At 44.7% G+C, this 22,330-nt stretch overlaps 1 protein-coding gene and 1 non-coding gene across 16 annotated transcripts in view; both read right to left on the minus strand.

Moving 5' to 3' along the window:
* Positions 1-22,330, minus strand: part of CIT (citron rho-interacting serine/threonine kinase) — a 191,530-nt gene that overhangs the window by 16,355 nt on the left and 152,845 nt on the right. For 5 of the 15 annotated variants that reach the window (XM_011537784.2, XM_011537783.2, XM_011537790.2 and 2 more), the window contains 14 exons: positions 19,164-19,304; positions 18,333-18,440; positions 16,554-16,716; positions 16,100-16,264; positions 12,052-12,189; positions 11,323-11,503; positions 11,058-11,149; positions 10,446-10,550; positions 10,033-10,202; positions 8,904-8,948; positions 8,395-8,475; positions 8,106-8,241; positions 6,034-6,173; positions 2,218-2,310 (listed from right to left, as the gene is read on the minus strand). In XM_011537784.2, coding sequence (XP_011536086.1) covers positions 2,218-2,310; positions 6,034-6,173; positions 8,106-8,241; positions 8,395-8,475; positions 8,904-8,948; positions 10,033-10,202; positions 10,446-10,550; positions 11,058-11,149; positions 11,323-11,503; positions 12,052-12,189; positions 16,100-16,264; positions 16,554-16,716; positions 18,333-18,440; positions 19,164-19,304 — 1,758 coding nt within the window. The remainder of the gene's footprint in view (positions 1-2,217; positions 2,311-6,033; positions 6,174-8,105; positions 8,242-8,394; positions 8,476-8,903; positions 8,949-10,032; positions 10,203-10,445; positions 10,551-11,057; positions 11,150-11,322; positions 11,504-12,051; positions 12,190-16,099; positions 16,265-16,553; positions 16,717-18,332; positions 18,441-19,163; positions 19,305-22,330) is intronic. The other 10 variants (XM_011537788.2, XM_011537787.2, XM_017018737.2 and 7 more) reach the window with 3 other exon arrangements.
* MIR1178 (microRNA 1178) lies at positions 11,489-11,579 on the minus strand. The gene has a single exon (NR_031589.1). It is a non-coding gene; the product is annotated as a microRNA 1178 (primary transcript).

A 22,330-nucleotide genomic window follows, 5' to 3' on the forward strand; every position in this document is an offset into this window, starting at 1 on the left:
CTAGGTTAGAGTGCAGTGGTGTGATCATAGCTCACTGCAGCCTCAAACTGCTGGGCTCAAGCAATCCTCCCACCTCAGCCTCCCAAAGCATTAGAATTACAAGCTTGAGCCACTGCACACGCCCCATTCACCTTTCATGCCTCTCAGGATGAACAGTGATCCATTTGTTTTCTCTTCCTATTGTTCCATGCAACCCAAAACTAAGAAAACAAGGTCAAACTGCAGCCAAAAAAAGGTGGGGTCAGAAACACCATTCCAGGCTGGGCGCAGTAGCTTACATCTGTAATCCCAGCACTTTGGGAGGCTGAGGCAGGTGGATCACCTGAGGTCAGGAGTTCGAGACCAGTGTAGCCAACATGGTGAAACCCCGTCTCTACTAAAAATACAAAAAATTAGCCAGGTGTGGTGGTGTGCACCTGTGATCCCAGTTACTCAGGAGGCTGAGGCAGGAGAATCGCTCAAACCCGGGAGGCAGAGGTTGCAGTGGGCTGAGATAGTGCCATTGCACTACAGCCTGGGCGACAAGAGCAAAACTCTGTCTCAAAAAAAAAAAGAAAGAAAAGAAAGAAACAGCATTCCAATGAAGAGACAGATCTTGAACAATACAACATTCTTATCACAGGAAAAAAAAATACAGGAAAAATACAACAACTATTAACAGTGGTGGTCAGCAGCAATGGTTTTGGTTTCCTTCTTTTTGCTAGCTTCTAAGTTTCTAGTTTGAACCTATATTACCTATGCAGTCATCATCATGATCATCATTATTGTCATCTTAATTACCTGCTTCCTGATTATTTTTAGTTGTTTTTAGGCCAATCCTAATGTCATCAAAAAACCAGGCACACCTATTCAAAATGTGTGGCCGGGAATCATAAAGAAGCAATGATTTCTGAGAATTTTCCTGAAGCTAACAGTTCAAATTCTAGTGAGCATTATCATCATCACTGAATATTTCTTGGTCACCTACTAAGTATGGGAAAACTTTGAGGAAGCACGATATAGTGAAATGCTAGGAAAAAAAATCAAACTTCAGTTCTGGCCTCAACTTTGTAACTGAGGATTTTCTGCCAGCCTCAGTTGTCTTACCTGAAAATTGGGAATAACTGTCTCTGCTTTTCAGAACTGTGGTGAAAGGTGCTTGTAAAACAGCCAGTTCAGTCCCTTACAGGGTGGGCACCCAATGAACACACCAACTAAACTAACACCACCCTGCCCAGAATGGAACAGTTTCTCTAACAGGTAATGACCCTTATATATTATTCACCCTTCATTTCACTTTTTTTTTTTTTTTTTTTTTTGAGATGGAGTCTTGCTCTGTTGCCCAGGCTGGAATGCGGTAGTGCAATCTCGGTTCACTGCAACTTCCACCTCCCACGTTTATGCAATTCTCCTGCCTCTGCCTCCCACGTAGCTGAGATAACAAGCACCCGCCACCATGCCCGGCTAATTTTTGTATTTTTAGTAGAGACAGGGTTTCACCATGTTGGCCAGGCTGGTCTCAAACTCCTGACCTCAAGTGATCCACCCTCCTCGGCCTCCCAAAGTGCTGGGATTATAGGCCTGAGCCAACATGCCCAGCCTCATTTCATTTTTGAGACTAATCATGAAAGCACCAGAAATATATCAGGCTTAGGAGGAGTGGGACACTCCGAGGTAGGGACATCAGACAGCATTCTCCAGAAGCCAGGCAGATTTAAGGATCTAACACACATCTCGTCCATATTGCAGTCATCATCACAGCTCACTCTGCTCCGAAAAGAAGGAGCTCCCTAATTACATATCAAAATACTGCTAGCACTGGTTATTGCAGAAGGTTATATTAATAGACACCTCTAGAATTTGAGAAAGATTCTGATAAGTGCTACCTGGGACTGCTAGGATCTTAGAAAGAGCCCCCCCTTTTTTTTTTCCACTGGTTTTTCCTATCAGTCAACTTTCTGTTCTAACAAAAGGCTGAACTCACTGGGCTGGATGGGGAGGCAGTTCGCAAATGTGAGAAGAAAAGCAGGAGGGAAACCGCAGCTACTAGTGGCCCTGGGGAATCCTCCACAAAGGAAGGATCTCGCTGACGACAGAGGTCACCCCAGGCTAAAGGCCCGCAGGGTAGAAGGAACCCAGTACAGGCTGTGTCCCAGGACAGTGCACTTTCCACACTGGCTCGCTGAGAGAGCAGGACTGGCTTTCCCACGTTCAACCAAGGCAAGGCCCAGGACTTACTTTCCGGATGCAGTATTTGCTGAGGTTTTCGTTGTAGCGGAGAATGACGACTTTGCTGGGCATGGCTGCACAGATGCAGAGCCCGTTCTCAATCTGAAAAGCAACCAAGAAAAGAAAAAGACTGTCACCAGTGTGATACCGGCTGTGGGGCAAAACTAGGAAAAGCTCTCAGGCTCAGCGCCATTGATGATTCAGACCAGATCATTCTGTGTGGTGGGGGGAGGGCTGTCCTGGGCATCGCAGGATATGAGCAGTATCCCTGGCCTTGACCCACTAGATGCCTGCAGCACTTCAATGTGTGACAATCAAAAATGTCTCCAGCCATTACCAAATGTCCCCTGGTAAGGCAGAATTACCCCTGGTCGAGAACCAAGGCTTTACCTGGGATCCAGAGAAGGCCTCAGGGAGGCACCTGACACCACACACCTTTCCCACACATGTGCCTTCTGCTGGAGACAGAATCTTTTGACAAACTTCCCTTGTGAGGAGGGAGAAGACAGAATGAGGGAAGGGAGAGGAAAGGTGGTAGAGACTGCTAAACGAATTTAGAGAAAATTTCTTTTCTTCTGAGACGGAGTCTCACTCTGTCGCCCAGGCTGGAGTGCAGTGGCATGATCTCGGCTCACTGCAGCCTCCACCTCCCGGCTTCAAGCCATTCTCCCACCTCAGCCTCCCAAGTAGCTGGGACCACAGGTGCGCACCACCATGCCTGGCCAATTTTTGTATTTTAAGTACAGATGGGGTTTTGCCATGTTGGCCAGGCTGGTCTCGAACTCCTGGCCTCAAGTGATCCGCCTGCCTCGGCCTCCCAAAGTGCTGGGATTACAAGTGTGAACCACCACACCCGGCCCACATTTAGAGAAAATTTCAATCCAAAAGGAAAAGTTCTTAGCTAAGAACTCATACACGTGCAGAGTTCTACATCAAAACGCTCTTTTTCTAGAACAGCTGAAACCCTTTTAACGTCTCCTGCTACAACCAGATGTTTATCATTCACCAAATGAGGCTTACTGCTCAAATTAGTCCTGGCACGAAGGTCAGCAGCTGGTACAGTGGGAGAATGAAGATGGGCCGGGATAAGGGAGGAACACACAAGAAAAGGGAAATTGTTAGCAATGTTCTATTTCTTGGACTGGGTAGTGAGTGTGTGGATGCTTACGACATTATTAGGCTTTATGATTTACATATATGTTCCATACATTTTTTGAACAGTTCAGATATTAGAATGAAAATAATTTCTAATTTAAAAAACTAATTTTTATTAGCTGGGCATGGTGGGCATGCCTGTAATCCCAGTTACTCAGGAGGCTGAGGCAGAAGAATCACTTGAACCTGGGAGGCAGAGGCTGCAGTGAGCCAAGATCACACCACTGCATTCCAGCCTGGGTGACAGAGTGAGACTCTGTCTCAAAAAAAAAAAAAAAAAAAAAAAAAAAAAAAATTTTGGCCAGGTGCAGTGGCTCATGCCTGTAATCCCAGCACTTTGGGAGGCCAAGGTGGGTGGATCACTTGAGGCCAGGAGTTCGAGACTAGCCTGGCCAACATGGTCAAACCCTGTCTCTACTAAAAATACAAAAATTGGCCTGCTGTGATGGTGCGTGCCTGTAGTCCCAGCTACTTGGGAGGCTGAAGAGGGAGAATCGCTTAAAGCCGGGAGGCAGAGGCTACAGTGAGCCAAGATCGTGCCGCTGTGCTCCAGCCTGGGTGACAGAGCAAGACTCTGTGTCAAAAAAAAAAAAAAAAAATGTTGATTGAGCGGCTGAATGAACAAATGTGCAGTGTGCTCTCTTCTGAGGGTCAAAATGCGATGGTTTTCAACAGCAGAACGCCAGTAGCCTCAGGGGGTCTATAAACACCTGATTCAGACTTAATTAAAGTTATACATGTACATGTATATATACCCGCAAACACTCTTTTTTATTATTTTCTACTTTAACTTTTAAGTTCACAGGCACATGTGCAGGTTTGTTGTATCAATAAACTCATGTCATGGGGGTTTGTTGTACAGGTTATTTCATCACCTGCGTATTAAGCCTAGTATCCATTAGTTATTTTTCCCGATCCCCTCCCTCCTCCCACCCTCCACCCTCTGACGGGCCCCAGTGTGTGTGTTCCCCTCTATGTGTCCATGTGTTCTCATCATTCAGCTCCCACTTATAAGTGAAAACATGTGGTATTTGTTTTTCTGTTCCTGCATTAGTTTGCTTAGGATAATGGCCTACAGCTCCATCCATGTTCCTGCAAAGGACATGATCTCATTCTTTTTTAGAGCTGCATAATATTCCATGGTGTATATGTACCACATTTTCTTTATCCAGTCTACCATTGATGGGCATTTAGGTGGATTCCATGTCTTTGCTATTATGAGTAGGCTGCAATGAACATACACATGCATGTGACTTTATAATAGAATGATTTATATTCCTTTGGGTATATACCCAGTAATGGGATTGCTGGGTTGAATGGTATTTCCATTTTTAGGTCTTTGAGGATCCCCACACTGTCTTCCACAATGGTTGAACTAATTTATACTCCCACCAACAGTGTATAAGTGTTCCTTTTTCTCCACGACCTCACCAGCATCTGTTATTTTTTGACTTTTTGACTAAAGAAGCAAACAAAGGTATTTTATGTGCCACTTTTCAATATGCCAGAAGCTACAAATGAATTAACTTGAGTTCTCATGAACTTTGTTATGTAAATGTCATAAATTCGAATTTTTAAATTTCTAGTAATGAAACATACTTTCATCTAGTTCAGACATGGAGATCCACATTAGATTTTTTTTAAGGTTCATCTCTCTCTCACAGACACAGCAGACATACACACGCACATGCAAACACACTTATTTTTAAATTATGGATCATCCTTCTAGTTTTGTTAATTTTATTCCCATTTTGCTCTCAGACATTTATTTTAGATTCAAAACCTGTACAAATTTCATGGCTACACAAATTATTTCACGTGCCTAAAGGAGGCAACAGAAATTTAACCTAGTTTGAGGATGTACAATTGTGAAAGTTGTCAGAATCAAAATGGAGCTGCCAATGTTAACAAAACGCTGACATTAGAGCAGGAGGAGGCCATGAAGAGAGGATTCTCACACTTGTGTGCCTGATAAAAAAGAGACTCGACGAAAACCACAAAGGCCATTGCAATCTGTTTTTTTTTTCCCTGTCACCAGGCTGGAGTGCGGTGGCGCAATCTCGGCTCACTGCAACCTCCGCCTCCTGGGTTCAAGTCATTTTCCTCCCTCAGCCTCCCGAGTAGCTGGGATTACAGGCGCCCGCCACCGTGCCCAGCTAATTTTTGTATTTTTAGTAGAGACAGGGTTTCACCATGTTGGCCAGGATGGTCTTGATCTCTTGACCTCGTGATCCACCTGCCTCGGCCTCCCAAAGTGCTGGGATTACAGGCATGAGCCACCGCGCCCGGCCAGGCCATTGCAATCTTACACAAAAAATACTTCTGCAAGGACATCCGCCCAGTGACTATCTGTCCAACCTTAGACAAGCGTCAGTCTTGTTATTAATCTTTGAAGCCAAGGATAATTATTTCAAAAAGACTATGGAATCCTCACTTACAAACCTCTGTCTTCCTTTATCTCCCTAGATACCCACATAGTTTACAATGGCACGTGTATTCCCATTGCAAAGCCCTGTTCCCAAATCAATCTCTTTTCTTTCAAGAGAGCCCCTCTCTGTTTGTTATTTAAGTTGACACTATCTTGAAGGTCAAATCAACGAGCTCTGTGGGAAGAGAGGTAGTGTCAATTTCCAGAACATTCCACCAGCTAGGACTCTGAGGGGAGCTTACCTTGCCTGCCCCAAACAAGTGGCAGCCCTTGACAGCTTCAAAAATGTTGGGTGAGATGTCGGGCTGGGCAGGCAGGTGGGACTGGGCCAGGGACTGTTTCACTTTCTTCACGTCCACAAGACACAGTGCCCGCTCTTCTCCTGAACAGGAAAAGGAACAACCTCTCGTCAGTGTGAAGCCGTTAAGTAAAGGTACGGGATGGTGGTTCTAGTTCTAGTCACAAGTAAAAGTCACAAGAGGCCACACAGATGATCTGAGTTTTCCACAAATCCATATAAACACATTTTAGGTCCATGATTTATTTATTTTTTTTTTTTAAATTTTTGAGACAGAGTCTTGCTCTGTTGCCCACACTGGAGTGCAATGGTACAATCTCGGCTCACTAAAACCTCTGCCTCCTGGGTTCAAGCAATTCTCCTGCCTCAGCCTCCTGAGTAGCTGGGATTACAGGTGCATGCTACCACGCCTGGCTAATTTTTTTTTGTATTTTTAGTAGAGATGGGGTTTCGCCATGTTGGTCAGGCTGGTCTCAAACTCCTGACCTTGTGATCTGCCCGCCTCAGCCTCCCAAAGTGCTGAGATTACAGGCGTGAGCCACCACGCCCGGCCCAAGTCCATGATTTAAATCTAAGACAATAACATTTGGCCTTTTAGTCAAGATTCTGAGGAGGGTGGAATTCTGCAGACATAAAATTGGAGAATGTGAACTGTACTTTCAAACATGCTCCCCAGCAAAGTAAAGAACGAATGTGTGAGGGAGGAATGAGGAGGCATTCTATGAAAAAACAGACTTGGACTATCCAAATATGTGGATGTCAGGAGAGACAAAAGGCTGAGGAACCGTTCAGATTAAAGGAGACTAGAGAGACATGATTAAATGCAATGCAAATTCTGGGACATTATAGAAGCCACAGGTAAAATCCAATTATGGGCAGCATAGCGGATACTTGTATTATAGTAAGGGTAAATTTCCTAAATGCAGAAATTATAGTATGTGAAACTATTCTATATGATACTCTATGTGTGGATACATGTCATTATATGTTTTTCAAAACCCATAGAATGTATACCACCAAGAAAGAACTCTATAATGTAAACTGTAGACTTGGGGTGACAATGATGTGTCACTGTCAATGTGTCAATGTAGGTTCACTGACTCTAACGAACGTATCACTCTGGTGGGGGATGTTGGTAGTGGGGGAGGCTATGCATATATGAGAACGGGGGTATATGGGAACTCTCTGTACCTTTCAATTTTGCTGTGAATCTAAAACTGCTCTAAAGAATAAAATAAGGAAGAGAGGAAGAGACGGAGGAAAAAGAGCTGAGATTAAGAAAGGCCAGTTCTTGTCCATAGTATGTCAGTCCCCGGATCCAGCCATGCCTGAAACAAGACCTAACTGTTGTTGTTTTGAACACTGAATCGATATATTACTCTTTTCCCCTTTAAAAATAATGTCACTAACACAGACAGAGAGAAATAAACTGTACCCTGGTTATGTGACAGAATGTCTTCAATCCTTAGGTTGATATACTGAAGAACTTGGCGTCATACCTGCAACTAACTCTCAAATGGTTCAGGAAAGAGAGAGAGAGAGAGAGAGAGAGAGTGTGTGTGTGTGTGTGTGTGTGTGTGTGTGTGTGTGTGTGTGTGTGTGTTAAGAAGACAGAGAAAAAAATTATGACAAAATATTAGCAAATGGTGACTTGAGAGAGATCACAGAGTTAACAGAGCAAGCAAGCTCTCAGAAGGTCAGGGCCCACGGTGGTTTCGTTGCAATCAGGACAAAGGGTTTGGCTTTAGATAGTCTTCGAGGCTTAGCACTCTTCACTTGGCCTAACAGTGGGATGTTCTTTGGGAATGTCAGACTGTGCTAAACTGGATACTGGAAGGGAACTGAATCTGGACAGAGGGGGTCCATTAGCTGAGGCTTGGGCATCTATGGGGACACAGAGATAAGAGCTACAACGGCTCCTCTCTACTATTTTGTGTTTTACGAGCATGAAACGTGGCTTCAACATATTGGCTCCCTTGAAAGTAAAGAAAAAACACCATGTCCTTGGCCTCACACCTGCTATCATGAGTAGCTTCTCCAGGTCCTTGATAATATAAATTTGGAAGACTGCTCCAATTCCTGGGACATGGGTTAGGGAGTTTTTCAAGACATTCAGGGCGTAGAGCCCTTCCTCGGTGCCCACCAACACCACCTGCAAGGGCAGAAGTCCGAAGGCAGAACATAAGCACGGTCACGTCACCAGAACAATCTCTAGTAAGAGCAACAAGGCCTCCACAGCCCTTTCTTTCTTGATGGGGTGTGGCTGTAACCAGACACCAGCTGGCCGTGCCCATGCAAGCATTACCTGGTCACTGAAGGGCAGCGTGCAGTTCATGTCTAGACGGTCATCACCTTCCAGTTTCAGCAGGGAGTTTCCAAGCAGTTTCTTTTCATAGGTGAAAGAAAAGAAAAACAGAAGACATCGTGAGGCTGATCTGTTTATGACCAAACCATCCAGAGAAACCAAGAGAAGGTTAAGGCCAAGTTATTCCTGGAAATGCTCAGAAACGCACATATGCTCTTAGCTCAGCCCGTATTTTGATCTGAGCTCCAAATGCAAAATGCGAGTGCTATTGGTATCTCTGGGGCAGCTGTTAATTAGCATCTGAGTTATAATTTGGCTGGGATGCAGAAATAAGGGAGGGTAGTAGACATGGAAAGCTATTCTGTAATAAGAAATAAGCTGAAGCTAAGGAGATTTCACCTGCGCAGGGTTAATAAGACACATGAAAGACTCCTTCCCCCATAAGGCTGCAGCAGAAGTGCAAAGGCGCCGTGTTAGCAGCGAGCCAGCACGCCTCTGCATCTCTTTACCTGAACCCAGGCAGGCAGAAGCTCGTAAGAAACACAGTCGCGGGCCTATTGTACACATATTAACAAGGATTTCAGTAAAAGCTCACGTGTGAAACGACCAACAAGTCATCCAAACAGGTCTAACCACTGAGTAAAGCCCTTTTCAGGAGGCTTGTGGTTAAGAATCTGCCAATTGCTAACACATAAAGTGTTTATTAGGAGTGAAGAGTCTGAAAAGAGCTGTTTGGTCTTCGCTGGAGCAAACGTCAATGAGCAATGAGCACTGTTTGTATCCTGGAACATTTTAGGTGGGGTGATGCCAATCACAGCACACCTACGTTTCTAACAGCTTAAGGATAAGTAGGACTCCAAACCTGCCTACGGAAGAGCAAATACTGCAAAAACAACTGAGATGCTTATGAAAAGCCTTCCTGGAGGGGACACAGCTGCCGGCAGCCTATTGTGCTGCTTCGTGGCCAAAGTGCTTCTAACTCAAGCCTTCAAACCAGACAAACTCATTTGAGTAAACAGGAGAGAGGATTTCCTTATAAGTACATTTGCTGCTGCATCACCACAACCAAGGTCTACAATGCCACCAGAGTAGGCTACTGATGCCGATTCCCCCATTCTTTTTCCTTTGCTTTTACAGTCCATGCCTCGCTCTGTTGCCCAGGCTGGAGTACAGTGGCACAATCGTAGCTCACTGCAGCCTCAAACTCCTGGGCAATCCGCCGGCCTCAGCCTCCCTACTAGCTGGAACTACAGGTGCATGTCACCACACCTGGCTAACTTTCTTTCTTTCTCTTTTTTTAAGAGATGGGATCTTGCTATCTTGCCCAGTCTGGTTTCAAACTCCTGGGCTCAAGTGATCCTCCTGCCTTGGCCTCCTGGGTCACTGGGACCACAGGCATGAGCCACCGCATCCCTGATTCCCACATTCTAAATGGATCATGATGCCACACAAGCTACCTTGGTGCTTGTGCCTTCATCACCACCAGACTCCTGGCCATGACACAGTCTAGAGCCATCAGCCCTCAGAGAGAGAGCCTGAGGGGAATCAAAATGGCCAATGGGATTCTCGTCGTTAACACCAGTTACCAAGTCAGCCCCCTTTACAAAGACAACCTCCAGGGCCCGCTTTCATACTCACAGCATCAGCTTCTGCTTTTTCCCTAGAAACTCTCCCACCTGCGACAACTGATTCTAAGGCGGTGACCCAGCGCTGTTTGTCAGGGAAGCTGGGAGCTAGCAAGTAGAGGGTTCTCCCGGGCCAGCAGGTGGTGTGCGGGTGAGATTCCATCTTCAGTATGTATGGGACATCTAGGAGATTTCAGAGAGCACAGGATTGGGTGTGGATTTCCCCCGTTCCCACTGGGAGGGACGGGCCTGAGAGATCAAAGATGCCCACCAAACCACGCAAATCCCAGTTACCGCCAAGGCGGGGAGCGGAGGAAGATGGGCCTCCTTTGCAGAGCCAATCTTCCCTGTACCACCCCTTCTGTCCCTGCTGATTGGCCAAGCCCGGCCCACCTCCAGGGCGGGGCTCCTCCGGCTCCTCCTCACCTGCTTTGGCTGTATTTGCGAGTTCGGAAGCACCAACGGCACCATGAATAGATACATCCCCGTCGGGAAGGCACAGCTCAAATTCTTCCACCGGCCTCTGTCCAGCTTGGTGCAAAGAGGAAGGGCAGAAAGAAAAACAAAAGAACAGGAACAAGAACAAGGGGAGAAGAGAGAGCGAGAGAGACAGCAAGGGAGAGAGAGACAGGGTACGTGTGTAAAGAGAGGCGCACGAGAACAAGGAAGGGACAGAGGTGTGCAGAGAAGGCAGAGAGGGAAGATAAAAAAAAATAAAGTGTGTCAGATGAGTAGCACAGTCAAATTTCTGATGACGATGCGGATTTATGGGTTAGTTGACTGAGGCAGAAGTTCTCGGAAGGTGTATTAGCAGGTGGAATCTTCAGGGCAGCGCCCTGCGGGTTCTTCAGGGGGGAGACCTATAGATGTGAGTATCGCACCAATAACCTTTAGAGAAGTCATTTGGTTTGTAAGTTTCAAAAATGGAAAAGCGTAGAAGGCTTGCAAGGCAGTCCAAAAAACAAAGCCTTCGCGCCAGCACTGGGGAGACCTGGGTTAGCCACGTGCAATGACCTTCCCCCTGAATTATTAATTTACCTTCTCTGGCTTCATTGTCATAAATGAGGACTTTTGATCCCTCCAGGACAATGTACTTCCTGTCCCAGCCTTGCTGTCCTCGTTTGTTATTCCTGGGGAAAGAAAGATGGAAAAGAAAAATGTCTGAACTCAGAAGAAACATCCGGCTGGAGGATAGGATGAGGGGGTGGCAGAGTTCCTAGAAAAGACACTTCCCTAGAAAACATCAGGGACAGAGTGGCTTGTGCCAGCACCTGCTCCAGCCCAAGCCACCCTGACATGGTACCTGGGCACCTTCATCCACCCTTCCAGGTGCAAGCTGCTGCTGGGCTCCTTGGTCTGGAGACCTGGGGAGTTCATTTTGTCACGGCAGAAGGCCTCGGTGAAGTGTGTGGCATATTCAGCAGGCAAGCCGCAGGTGGCTGGCAAGCACGTGGAGCACTTGGGGTGACACATCACCTGACATTCTAGGGAAGAACAGTGAGCAACCTGAGGGCATGCTCAGCTGACCCTGGACCCTTCCCTTCCTCTGCCAGCCAACGCCTGGGCTTCTCTACCCCAGCCGGGCCCAGAGAGTCTGGCCCTGGCTTGCAGGTAGTCTCCTGAGCTTCCCCTGGTGCCAGGCCCCTGCAGAAAGGGAAAACAAAAGTGCCAAGTGCTCTTGACCCAGTTTTCCAGGCTTCAATCCAGACCGCCCACAAACAGGTGTGTAAAGAACACGTTTGCATGTTTCAGTTGGAGTCAGCGGAAAGGTAGGGAGAGACCAGCCTGACAAAAAGGGGCTGGAAATTAGCAAAGCCTAAGGCACTCTGAGCAGCAGGCTGGAGTCATGAGCTGCAGACATATATAAACTCACAGCTTCAACAGGGGAAAAATAGCATCCTCCTACTGAAGTAAGAAGCTCGAAAATGAATGCACTATATGATGAGTTAGAAAAAAATCACCTCCACCTGATAGACTTTTTAAGCTGGAGATGCACAGGTGCCCAGCACAGATGCACAACTACTGATCTTACCGAGACATTTGGATGCCTGGCGTCCAAAGTGCACGGTATCCAGACACACAGCACACTTTGTGGCTCGCATGTTCAGTCCTACGTTGAATCGGTGAGGAATATTGTGGTGCATGCGTTCCTTAAGACGCCGACTAAATTCTGGAGGAAAATGTTTTAAAAAATCATTAGAGTACTGCAAATGATCCCATCAGGAAAGTGAAAAGACAACCCACAGAAAGGGAAAAAATACTTGCAAATCAAATCTCTGATAAGGGACTCATATCTAGAATACATAAAGAACTCTTACAACTCAATAATAAAAGGACAACCCAATTTTAAAATGGGCCAAGAATTTAAATAGACACCTCCCCGAAGAGGATAAATGGCCAACGAGCAAATGAAAAGATGCTCAACATTATCAGTCGTTAGAGAGATGTGAATCAAAACCCCAAGCAGACACCACTTCACAACCACTAGGATGTCTACAGTCTAAAAAAAGGAAGATAAGTGTTGATGAGGATGTGGAGAAACTGGAACCCTCACACATTCCTGGTGAGAATGTAAAAATGGTGCAGCCACTTTGGAACTCAGTCTGGTAGTTCTGTAAAAGGTTAAACATAGTTACCCCAGAACCCAGCAATTCCGCTCCTGGCTATATATCCAAGGGGACTGAAAACATATGTACCCACAAAAATCTGTACATAAATGTTCACAGCAGCATAATTTATGACAACTACAAAGTGAAAACAACACAAATGTCCACCAATGGTGATATGGTTTGGCTGTGTCCCCACCCAAATCTCATCTTGAATTGCAGCTGCCATAATTCCCATGTGTTGGGAGGGACTTGGTGGGAGATAACTGAATCATGCGGGTGGTTTCCCCCATACTGTTCTTGTGGTAGTGAATAAGATCTGATAGTTTTATAAGGGGAAACCCCTCTCGCTTGGTTCTTATTCTCTTTTGTCACCGCCACATGAGACATGCCTTTTGCCTTCCACCATGATTGTGAGGCCTCCCCAGCCACATGGAACTGTGAGTCTATTACACCTCTTTTTCTTTATAAATTACCCAGTCTTGGGCATGTCTTTATCAGCAGTGTGAAAATGGACTAATGAAAATGGATTAATGGATAATCAGATGTGCCATCTACACAATGGAGTATTATTCAGCCATGAAAGGAATGAAGTTCTGATACATGCTACAACATGGGTGAACCTTGAAAACATTACATTCCATGAAAGAAGCCAGACACAAAGGCCGCATGCAGTATGATTCATCTTTATGAAATGTCTAAGAGAGCAGATCGACAGAGACAGAAAGTAGATTGGTGGTTGCTAAGAAGAACATTAGTGGAAGGAGAATGGCGGGGGACTGATAATGTGTATGGAGTATTTTTTGGGTGGGGGGGTGTCAAAATTGTTCAAAAATTAGAATGTGATGAGGGTTACACAACCCTGTAAACTTACTGAAAAAGACTGAATTGTACATTTTTAATGAGCGAACTGTACGGTATGCAAATTACATCTGAATGAAACTGTTAAAACCATTAGAACAGGTTAGTTACAGATTTTGAAAGTATTAACACTAACAGATGCATCTAGATTTATAAGACTCAACTTAAAATCTCCATTATCCAGTGATTAGGAATCAGGCTTTAAGAACATGTTACTGGTAGGAGATTGACTGACTATACGGTAGGCTCTCCTTACAACATCACCCCCCTTCCTTTCTTGGAAAGGTGCAAGGAATAAATAACAGGAATGCACTTTGAAACTGTGTGGTGCAGTATACACAAAGGAGCAATATACTGTAGTACTATCACTATTCAGGGACATTTCAGTGGACACCACAGCCAGAAGCAATGCTTTCCTCTATCTTGTCATCACCATTTTAATGAGTTTAAAAGTAAAGCTCTTGGGCTGGGCACAGTGGCTCAAACCTGTAATGCCAGCACTCTGGGAGGCCAAGGCAAGTGGATCGCTTGAGGTCAGGAGTTCAAGACCAGCCTGGCCAACATGGTGAAACCCTATCTCTACTAAAAATAAAAATATTAGCCAGGCATGGTGGCGCATGCCTATAATCCCAGCTACTCAGGAAGCTGAGGCATGAGAATCGCTTGAGCCTGGGAGGCAGAGGTTGCAGTGAGCCAAGATCACACCACTGCTCTCCAAGCCTGGGCGACAGAGCGAGACTCTGTCTCAAAAAAAAAAAAAAAAAAAAAAAAAAAAAAAAAAAAGTAAAGCTCTTTGATTCAAGGAGTTATATAAACACAGGAGGAAGAAAATGACTTCAGGCTAAAGAAAAACAACAGCAACAAGAAAACACCATCTGGTTTACAACCAAAACAGGTTTGATTGCAATGCCATGATTGCTAAACCACAGCTCTACCCTAGTGTTCCTAAGACATTCCAAACAGCTTCCTTGGCCTTTTCTTAAGTCCTTTTAATCTCTAGGTAAATGGAGTACATTTGAGACCAGCAAGAAAACTCCTCACACTGTTGGTAGAAATAAACATTGGCACAAACTACCAGCACTCAAAATGTACATGACCTTTAACCCAGTGATTCATTTCCCAGGAATTTCTCCAGGCACAACACCCACAGAGGCACAGGATGTCCTCTGCAAGGTGTTTACAGTAACAGGGGATTGGAAACAACCTAAATGGCCATCAACAGGAGCCTGGCTTAACAGGTGAATTGCATGCTCACACCACGGAATACTGTGTGGTTCTCTGAAAGAATGGGGTAGGTCCTTATGTACTAATGTGAAACCTCTAAGATAGCACTTTAATGAAACGAAGGTGTCTTGCAGTGTATACTGTAGTGTGCTATGATATTTATAAGAGAAAAAAGGCCTGAAAGATAAGCTTACGTTTTCTTGTTTTTGTTTTTGAGACAGAGTTTCAGTCTTGTTGCCCAGACTGGAATGCAATGGCTTTATCTTGGCTCACTGCAACCTCTGCCTCCCAGGTTCAAACAGTTCTCCTGCCTCAGCCTCCCAGGTAACTGGGATTACAGGCATGCACCACCACACCCGGCTAATTTTGTATTTTTAGTAGAGACAGGGTTTCTCCATGTTGGTCAGGCTAGTCTCGAACTCCCAACCTCAGGTGATCCGCCCACCTCAGCCTCCCAAAGTGCTGGGATTACAGGCGTGAGCCACCACTATAATATTTATAAAAGAAAAAAGGCCTGAGAGAGAGATGTGCTTATTTTTTCATATTCTTTTTTCTTTTCTTTTCTTTTTTTTTTTTTTTTTTTGAGATGGAATCTCACTTTATCACCCAGGCTGGAGTGCAGTGGGGTGATCTCGGCTCACTGCAACCTCCACCTCCTGGGTTCAAATGATTCTACTGCCTTAGCCTCCCAAGTAGCTGGGACTTCAGGAGAATGCTACCACACCCAGCTAATTTTTGTATTTTTAGTAGAAACGAGGTTTCACCATGTTGGCCAGGCTGGTCTCAAACTCCTGACCTCAGGTGATCCGCCTGCCTCAGCATCCCAAAGTGCTGGGATTACTGGCGTGAGCCACCATGCCCAGCCTATTTTCTCATATTCTTTAAATATAATCACACAATGTAAGATACATGAATGGTATAGACATGTGGTCACATATATGAACCAACACTGAGGATGGGGAGCCAGGAGACTGACTTCTTTCTTTTTTTTTTTTTTTTTTTTGAGATGGAGTTTCCCTCTTGTTGCCCAGGCTGGAGTGCAATGGCGCAATCTCGGCTACCGCAACCTCCGCCTCCCGGATTCAAGCAATTCTCCTGCCTCAGCCTCCCGAGTAGCTAGGATTACAGGCATACACTACCATGCCCAGCTAATTTTGCATTTTTAGTAGAGACGGGGTTTCTCCATGTTGGTCAGGCTGGTCTTGAGCTCCCAACTTCAGGTGATCCGCCCACCTCGGCCTCCCAAAGTGCTGGGGTTACAGGTGTGAGCCACCGTGCCTGGCCAAGACTGACTTTTTAATCTTTAACCCCTAGTATTACTTGTAATTTTTACCATATGCCCACATGTCTTAGTCGACTAAAAGAAATTTCCATACAACTCCAACGTACCCTCTGGAGTTGAAGACTCCTTTCTGCGGCTGGATGGCGGGGCCAGCAGGCTCATGGCACTGGGCTGGTGCTCTGGCGACCGCACGATGGCGGACATGGCGATCTGCTGCCTCGCGGTGGCTGGCGTGGATGGGTGTGGGTGGTCCGTTGCTTTGCGGTGGGCAGCTGCAGAGAGACCAGGACAATGCCTTTTGGTTAGCTGGGTCGCCTAGAGGACCAAACTAAGCCGAATGTCCCTGGGCTATCTTTCAAGGACCCAAGACCAAAAGAATATGCGTCACATCAACTTGGCAATGCACAGGGGCCATACGTTTTTCAGACATGGGATGTCTGGTCTGAAAGCGTATGGGCCATAAACGAAGACACTGAGCTAGTTAGTCTTGGCTGATCTCACTGAGATCAATCCTCTGCCTTTTCCACATCCTTGAGCATTTTGGAGAGAGTGAGCCCCTACCTTCCTCCCGGGCGGACCGGAGCTCGATGCGGGTCTTCTGAAGGGCTTCCTCTAGCTCTGCACAGCGAGCTTTCTCCTTCTCCAGGGCCAGCTTCAGCTCATTGTACTGCAGAGGAACCTGTGTGGGTAAAGCAGGGTCCTCTTTCCGTCGACTAAATAAACCCTAGCAATGGAAACAGAGATATCTCCTAACTCCTGGAAACTGGCACTTGAAACTAGCTAAAGGAAATCTGACTCGGGAGGAGCAAACCACAAAAGCCAGGAGCATACTCACTGTAAGTGTATTTAGTAAAAATGGCATGTGAAGGGGGGGAAGGGTAGGCTGAGCCACAGCCCGTTCCAGCCGGCTGAAAAAAATAGGGGTGCGGAAGTTTTCACCAAGAGGATTAAAGATGCTTGAATGGCCACCACCTCTTCCTCTAGCATTGCCAAGACAGGAGAGTCATGTCCTGAGTCTTTCCCATTCAAAAAATGGAATCAGGAGAGTATGGAGTATGGAGTCAGGAGAGATGGTTCAGAGGTCACTCTTGCCTTGGAATATGTCTCATGATGCTCAGTTACAAGACACAGAGATGAGTGTTTTGTAAAAGGAAGCAAAATTTTAAAAGGAATGCTAAAATGAGGTCAAAACAAGGGGCTTACTCAAAAAAAAATGCAAATGAAAATATTTACTATACATGGAAAAAAAAGGAAAACAGAATAATGCAACTTAAAAAAAAGGTAACTAAAAAAAATAACAAATGGAAACACCCTAACTAAATCAAGTGACATAACCAGGTAACAGTTCACTGCTAAAATAAAAAAGATTAAATATCATAAGCATAACAACCATATACAGTCACGCAGCATGCAAGAAAATCCTTCCCGTGCAGCCAACGTCTAGTGGGAGGCGGCCTCTGAATGTTGTGCTCATGCCCTTACAGCGAAGATGGCACCGGAAATATTGAGACAACTGTCAACTTCAGCCCTCCACTCCTTCCTCCTAGGTATTCCAAGTCATCAAGGCCTCTCCTGCAAAACCACTGCCACTGCTGCTATGGTATGCTTCTGCATTTGGAAGGAAACTGCAAGCTTCTTCAAGACTTTTCTGGAACTGAGAACACCTGGCCAAACCTAGTATGAAGGCTTTAGTGGTTTGGGAAAGCATGTATAGATCAGGCTTATGAAAAACAATCTTCTCATGTGCACTATGTATAACCCTGCCCCTAGTTTGTAATTTGTCTCCTGCAATCTAAAAGGGTTGTTCAGTACTTGGCAGAGGGGAGAAGTGTCCAGTCAGACACTTCAGGCAGGTCACCCCAGCTCCCTGAGTTCTAGTCTCTTTGTGAGCCGATCAAAAGGACTGGACTAGATCACTGTTAAAGTCCTTTCTGGAGTGTGGTACGAGAGACCTGAACTGCTGAAGCCCCATACTTGTGACTTGCTAACTCCCTCTAGAGTCATGTATGCATGACTTGGTATAAATCTTTCTCTCTGCATACATCCCTCTGCCCCAACTGCTATGTGTGTGGGCTGGGGAGGGATTACTTCTTTAACAAAGATACTATGATTTGAATGGTCATAAACAAAAAGTAGTTTGTTAGACTTGATCACTGATATCTTTCAGTAAGACCTATTATAATTATCTCAAAATCTATTTTTCAACCCAAAATAAAACAACAAAAAAAGTATACTTTGTTTTCTTCTATGTTCCTATGATCATATATCACAGTGGTGTCCACTGAGCCATGAATGATGAGTGAAACTGACAATTCCCACTTTTCAAACACTTTGACTCACCTTTTTCTTTTTAGCAGGTTGGTCCATTTTGGCTTGCAGAAAATCAATGAGTTTGGTTTGTTGAGAAATAGTGCCTTCCATTTTCACCTTTTCATGAGAATAGAGAACCTAAAATTCAAGAAAACAAACTAACCTCAAATCCAGACAGAAGTATACTTTTAAAGTTGGTACTTTAAGAAACTAAAAAGTGAAGTTGTTAGGACACTAATATATGAAAATCCAACACAAACAGTACTGAGTCAGTATGTATTTAGTCCAGTTTTACTGCAAAAGAGAAAAAAGATATATTTATAGATAAATATGTGAAAAAGTAAAAATAGCAACAGGTTCCTTGTAGGTCATGGTCACTATAGAAATCTTCCAACTTCTCTGAATGTTTGCAATCTTTGAAAATAAAATCTTGGGGAAAATACACACAATATGCAGCACAAAGATACTGACCATTTTACCAGATGACTGTACAATCATGCTTTGCCTCTGCAGACTTATTTATTTATTTATTTTCTTGAGACAAAGTCTTGCTCTGTTGCCCGGGCTGGAGTGCAGTGGTGTGATCTCAGCCCACTGCAACCTCCACCTCCCGGGTTCAAGCCATTCTCCTTCCTCAGTCTCCCGAGTAGCTGGGACTACAGGCACCCGCCACCACGCCAGGCTAATTTTTGTATTTTTAGTAGAGATGGGGTTTCACCATGTTGGCCAGGCTGGTCTCGAACTCCTGACCTCAAGTAATCTGCCCTCCTCAGCCTCCCGAAGTGCTGGGATTACAGGCATGAGCCACTGCGCCCAGCCGTGCAGACCATTTTTAAGCAGATTCCCTCTGCCAGTCCTCACCTGAATGTTTTCCAGCTGATACTCCAAGTCACTTCTTTCTGTCTTCAGTAGATCAGCCCGATCTAGAGCTTCTTGCAGTCCTTGAGTCAGACGGAAAATGTGATTTTTCTGCAGGTCCATCTGCTGCTGTAATTTGGCTTGCTAGTGGGGAGAAGGGCCAGGGAAATGCTTGATACTGCACACAATACAATTTGTTCCCCTGCTGTTCCTATTTCAAACTAATTTCAGGCATGGCACCAGAAGTACAGCTTTTGAAATCATCTCAATTCAGAATTACCAATTGTCATCTATTCCAAAAGGATGCAAGCACAGTTAAAATGAATTTGCACAGAAACCTCTGCTGGCCAACAAGTCCGAGGATCCCTACCGTCACAGGAAGTCCAGGCTGCAGGGATGGCCTTCCCAGACAGAGTTCCAATTGAGGATATTTTGGTACATTAAGGTGAGGATATTTTGGATGGCATGAGCCATCTGAGTTGACATCTAAGGCAGTTCGACTCAGTGCCATGACAACTAAGTTCCAATGTCTTTATTTTCTGTTTTCAAGATCTTAATTGTTGCTATGAGAAATTACTCCATGCAGGCAGTGTGGGATACACAAAGAGAAATCATATCATCCCTTACTTAATAAAGGTCCCATTAGGGTAAGAGACCCCAACAAGTACATGAATAACCACAATCATGAGACATATTTCTACAACGTTGGGGGAAAAGAAGAAGATCCCAGTTATAGTACAGAGTGTTGGTAAAACCCAGAAAAGAAATTCAATTAAGTATATTGAAAATAGTTTTGTGCTGCAAATCTCGCTCCAATTTTTATAATGGAAGTTAACCAGAAAATAGGACAGGCTATAAAGACGCTGGTTTTGTGGTTCTTTTTCCTAAAATGCATCCGTTTCTAAAAAAGCAGGAGAGAGCAGGCATCCTGATGAGACAGTGCTTGATTTTATCCAAACCCTGGATTATAGCTTAACTACACTTAGTGTGGCCCAAATAATCTCTTCCCTGGTAGCCTGGGTCCTCTGCAGACTTAGGGACAGAGAGCTACTCAAAGCAATAAACATCATCACTGGAGATTCCAAAAGGCCTATGGCAGCCCCCAAACTCCTCCATCCCAGCAGGCCCAGAGCCACTGATAATCTCAGCATTTCCTGGCCCTCTCTGTCTCTTTGCTTCTCTCTACCTCTGTTTTTCTTTCCATTTATATTCCTCACCTGCCCTTCCTCTTAACATGTAGCTGATTCCCTAAGGCATCGTGTTGCAGTAGAAAGACCTGGATGCTGGATTCTTACAGACCCTGGTTTAAATCCTGACTTTTACACTTATCATATCACTGATACCTGTTAAAATCTGTATTTATCACCTCTCAGAGCCTCAGTTTCTTCATCTGAAAGTGGGTATACTAGCTTGCCTCATTGGATGACATATTGAACAAAGTGCCCAGTATACAGTAGGTGCTTATTGAATGTTTATCCTCTCCATCTCCTTTGTCCTTCTTTCTTCCCTCCATTCAGTTAAGGTGCTCCCTCTCATCCTCCCGTCTGCCTTTCCCTAACAGTACTGCCACAAAGGAAGAGCTACCAACTAAAGATCACCTGGGGCCAGGCACAGTGGCTCACACCTGAAATCCCAGGACTCTGGGAGGCTGAGGTGGGAGGATCGCTTGAGCCCATGAGTTCGAAGTGGCAATGAGCTATGATTATGCCACTGCATTCCAGCCTGGGCGACAGAGCAAGACCCTGTCTCTAAAAAAATAAAAACGAAAATTTAAAAAAAAAATCATTTGGCCCGTGTGCGTAATCTGGAATTTCTCAATCAAACCACAGAGCCCCCTAAAATACAGGAAAAAAGGAAAGAAACAGCTAAGATACCCTCCTCCGCAGCATGAGTGATTTCTTCTGCAAATTACCCTCTTTAGTTTCTTCCCACTATTTTAGGACAACATTAATTACTAGGCAGAAACCAGAGAAACAAGTGCTGGGGACGAGAATCTGTTTGGTGACAGCCGAGCCCAAAATATTTTTCTAGAATAAACGCATCAACTGTCCATTAGCTTTCCAAGAAATAGGCTGGTTATTCCCTATACATTAAAAAAAAAAAAAAAAAAAAGTAAGCGGGGCATTTGTACTCTATGAAATGTTTTTCAGAAGCATTTACCTGCTTCCCAGAAAGAAGCAAACAGAGGTATATTCATGGGCCAGTGTTAGGCTGAAAGGGGGATCTTAGCTGTGTGTTTAGACCTGTCCAACAATTTCACGAGGAAACTGTAAGGAAAAAGACAGGAAACTGGGAGGAAAAAGAAAGGGCCTGGATGATAGAACAAGAGCATGAAACAACCCCCGTGGGCTGGAAGAATGGATCAAGACCAACAAGAAAAACTTCAGTAGGGCGGTATTTTTTAAATTGTCAATGGAATAAATCTAGAACATAAAGATGTTTTTAAGAAAAAGCAAACTTGTGGAAGGGCAGGTAGTGATTTAACAGACCAGTGGTGTCAATGATGTGATCAAAACTACCCAAAGAGCACAGGTAATTGGCAGAGGTTTAGAGCCCAGTATGGAGACGGAAAGATCCCAATGTATTCAGTGCTATTCAGACCACATGGACTTGTAGAAACTCTCTGTGGAAAGACAAATCTACCAGAAAAGAACATCCAAAGCTTGAGGGGATCTAAAATGTTTCACTTAAAAAAGAGAAGGTGGCCGGGTGCAGTGGCTCACTCTTATAATCCTAGCACTTTGGGAGGCCAAGGCAGGAGGATCGCTTGAGCCCAGGAGTTTGAGGGCAACATAGGGAGACGCCGTCTCTACAAAAATACTTGAAAAAATAAAAGAGAAGGCAATTTGGAGTGGGAGAGCTATTTGGATATCTAGTTGACTGTCACAGAGATAATAAAACTAGTTATCTCCCAGGAACATTGCAAGGACTGTAAGAGTTAATTCATGTACTCAGAGAGTCAGTCACATGGTAAGTGCTAATTAAACATTAGTTATTTTAATTATTAATCAAGTAATCTATTAATCAGTATTAATCTCCCATTTTGGTTGGAGATATCAGACTACTTTCTAATTTCATGTGTTTTAATGTAATAGAACCAATAGGTAAAAGTGGAAGGTTTTTAGTTCAAAATAAGAATGTTCTAAGAATGAGAGTTGCTGAAAAATGGG

The sequence above is a fragment of the Homo sapiens genome, chromosome 12, assembly GCF_000001405.40.
Source record: "Homo sapiens chromosome 12, GRCh38.p14 Primary Assembly".
In the NCBI taxonomy this organism is placed as follows: domain Eukaryota; kingdom Metazoa; phylum Chordata; class Mammalia; order Primates; family Hominidae; genus Homo; species Homo sapiens.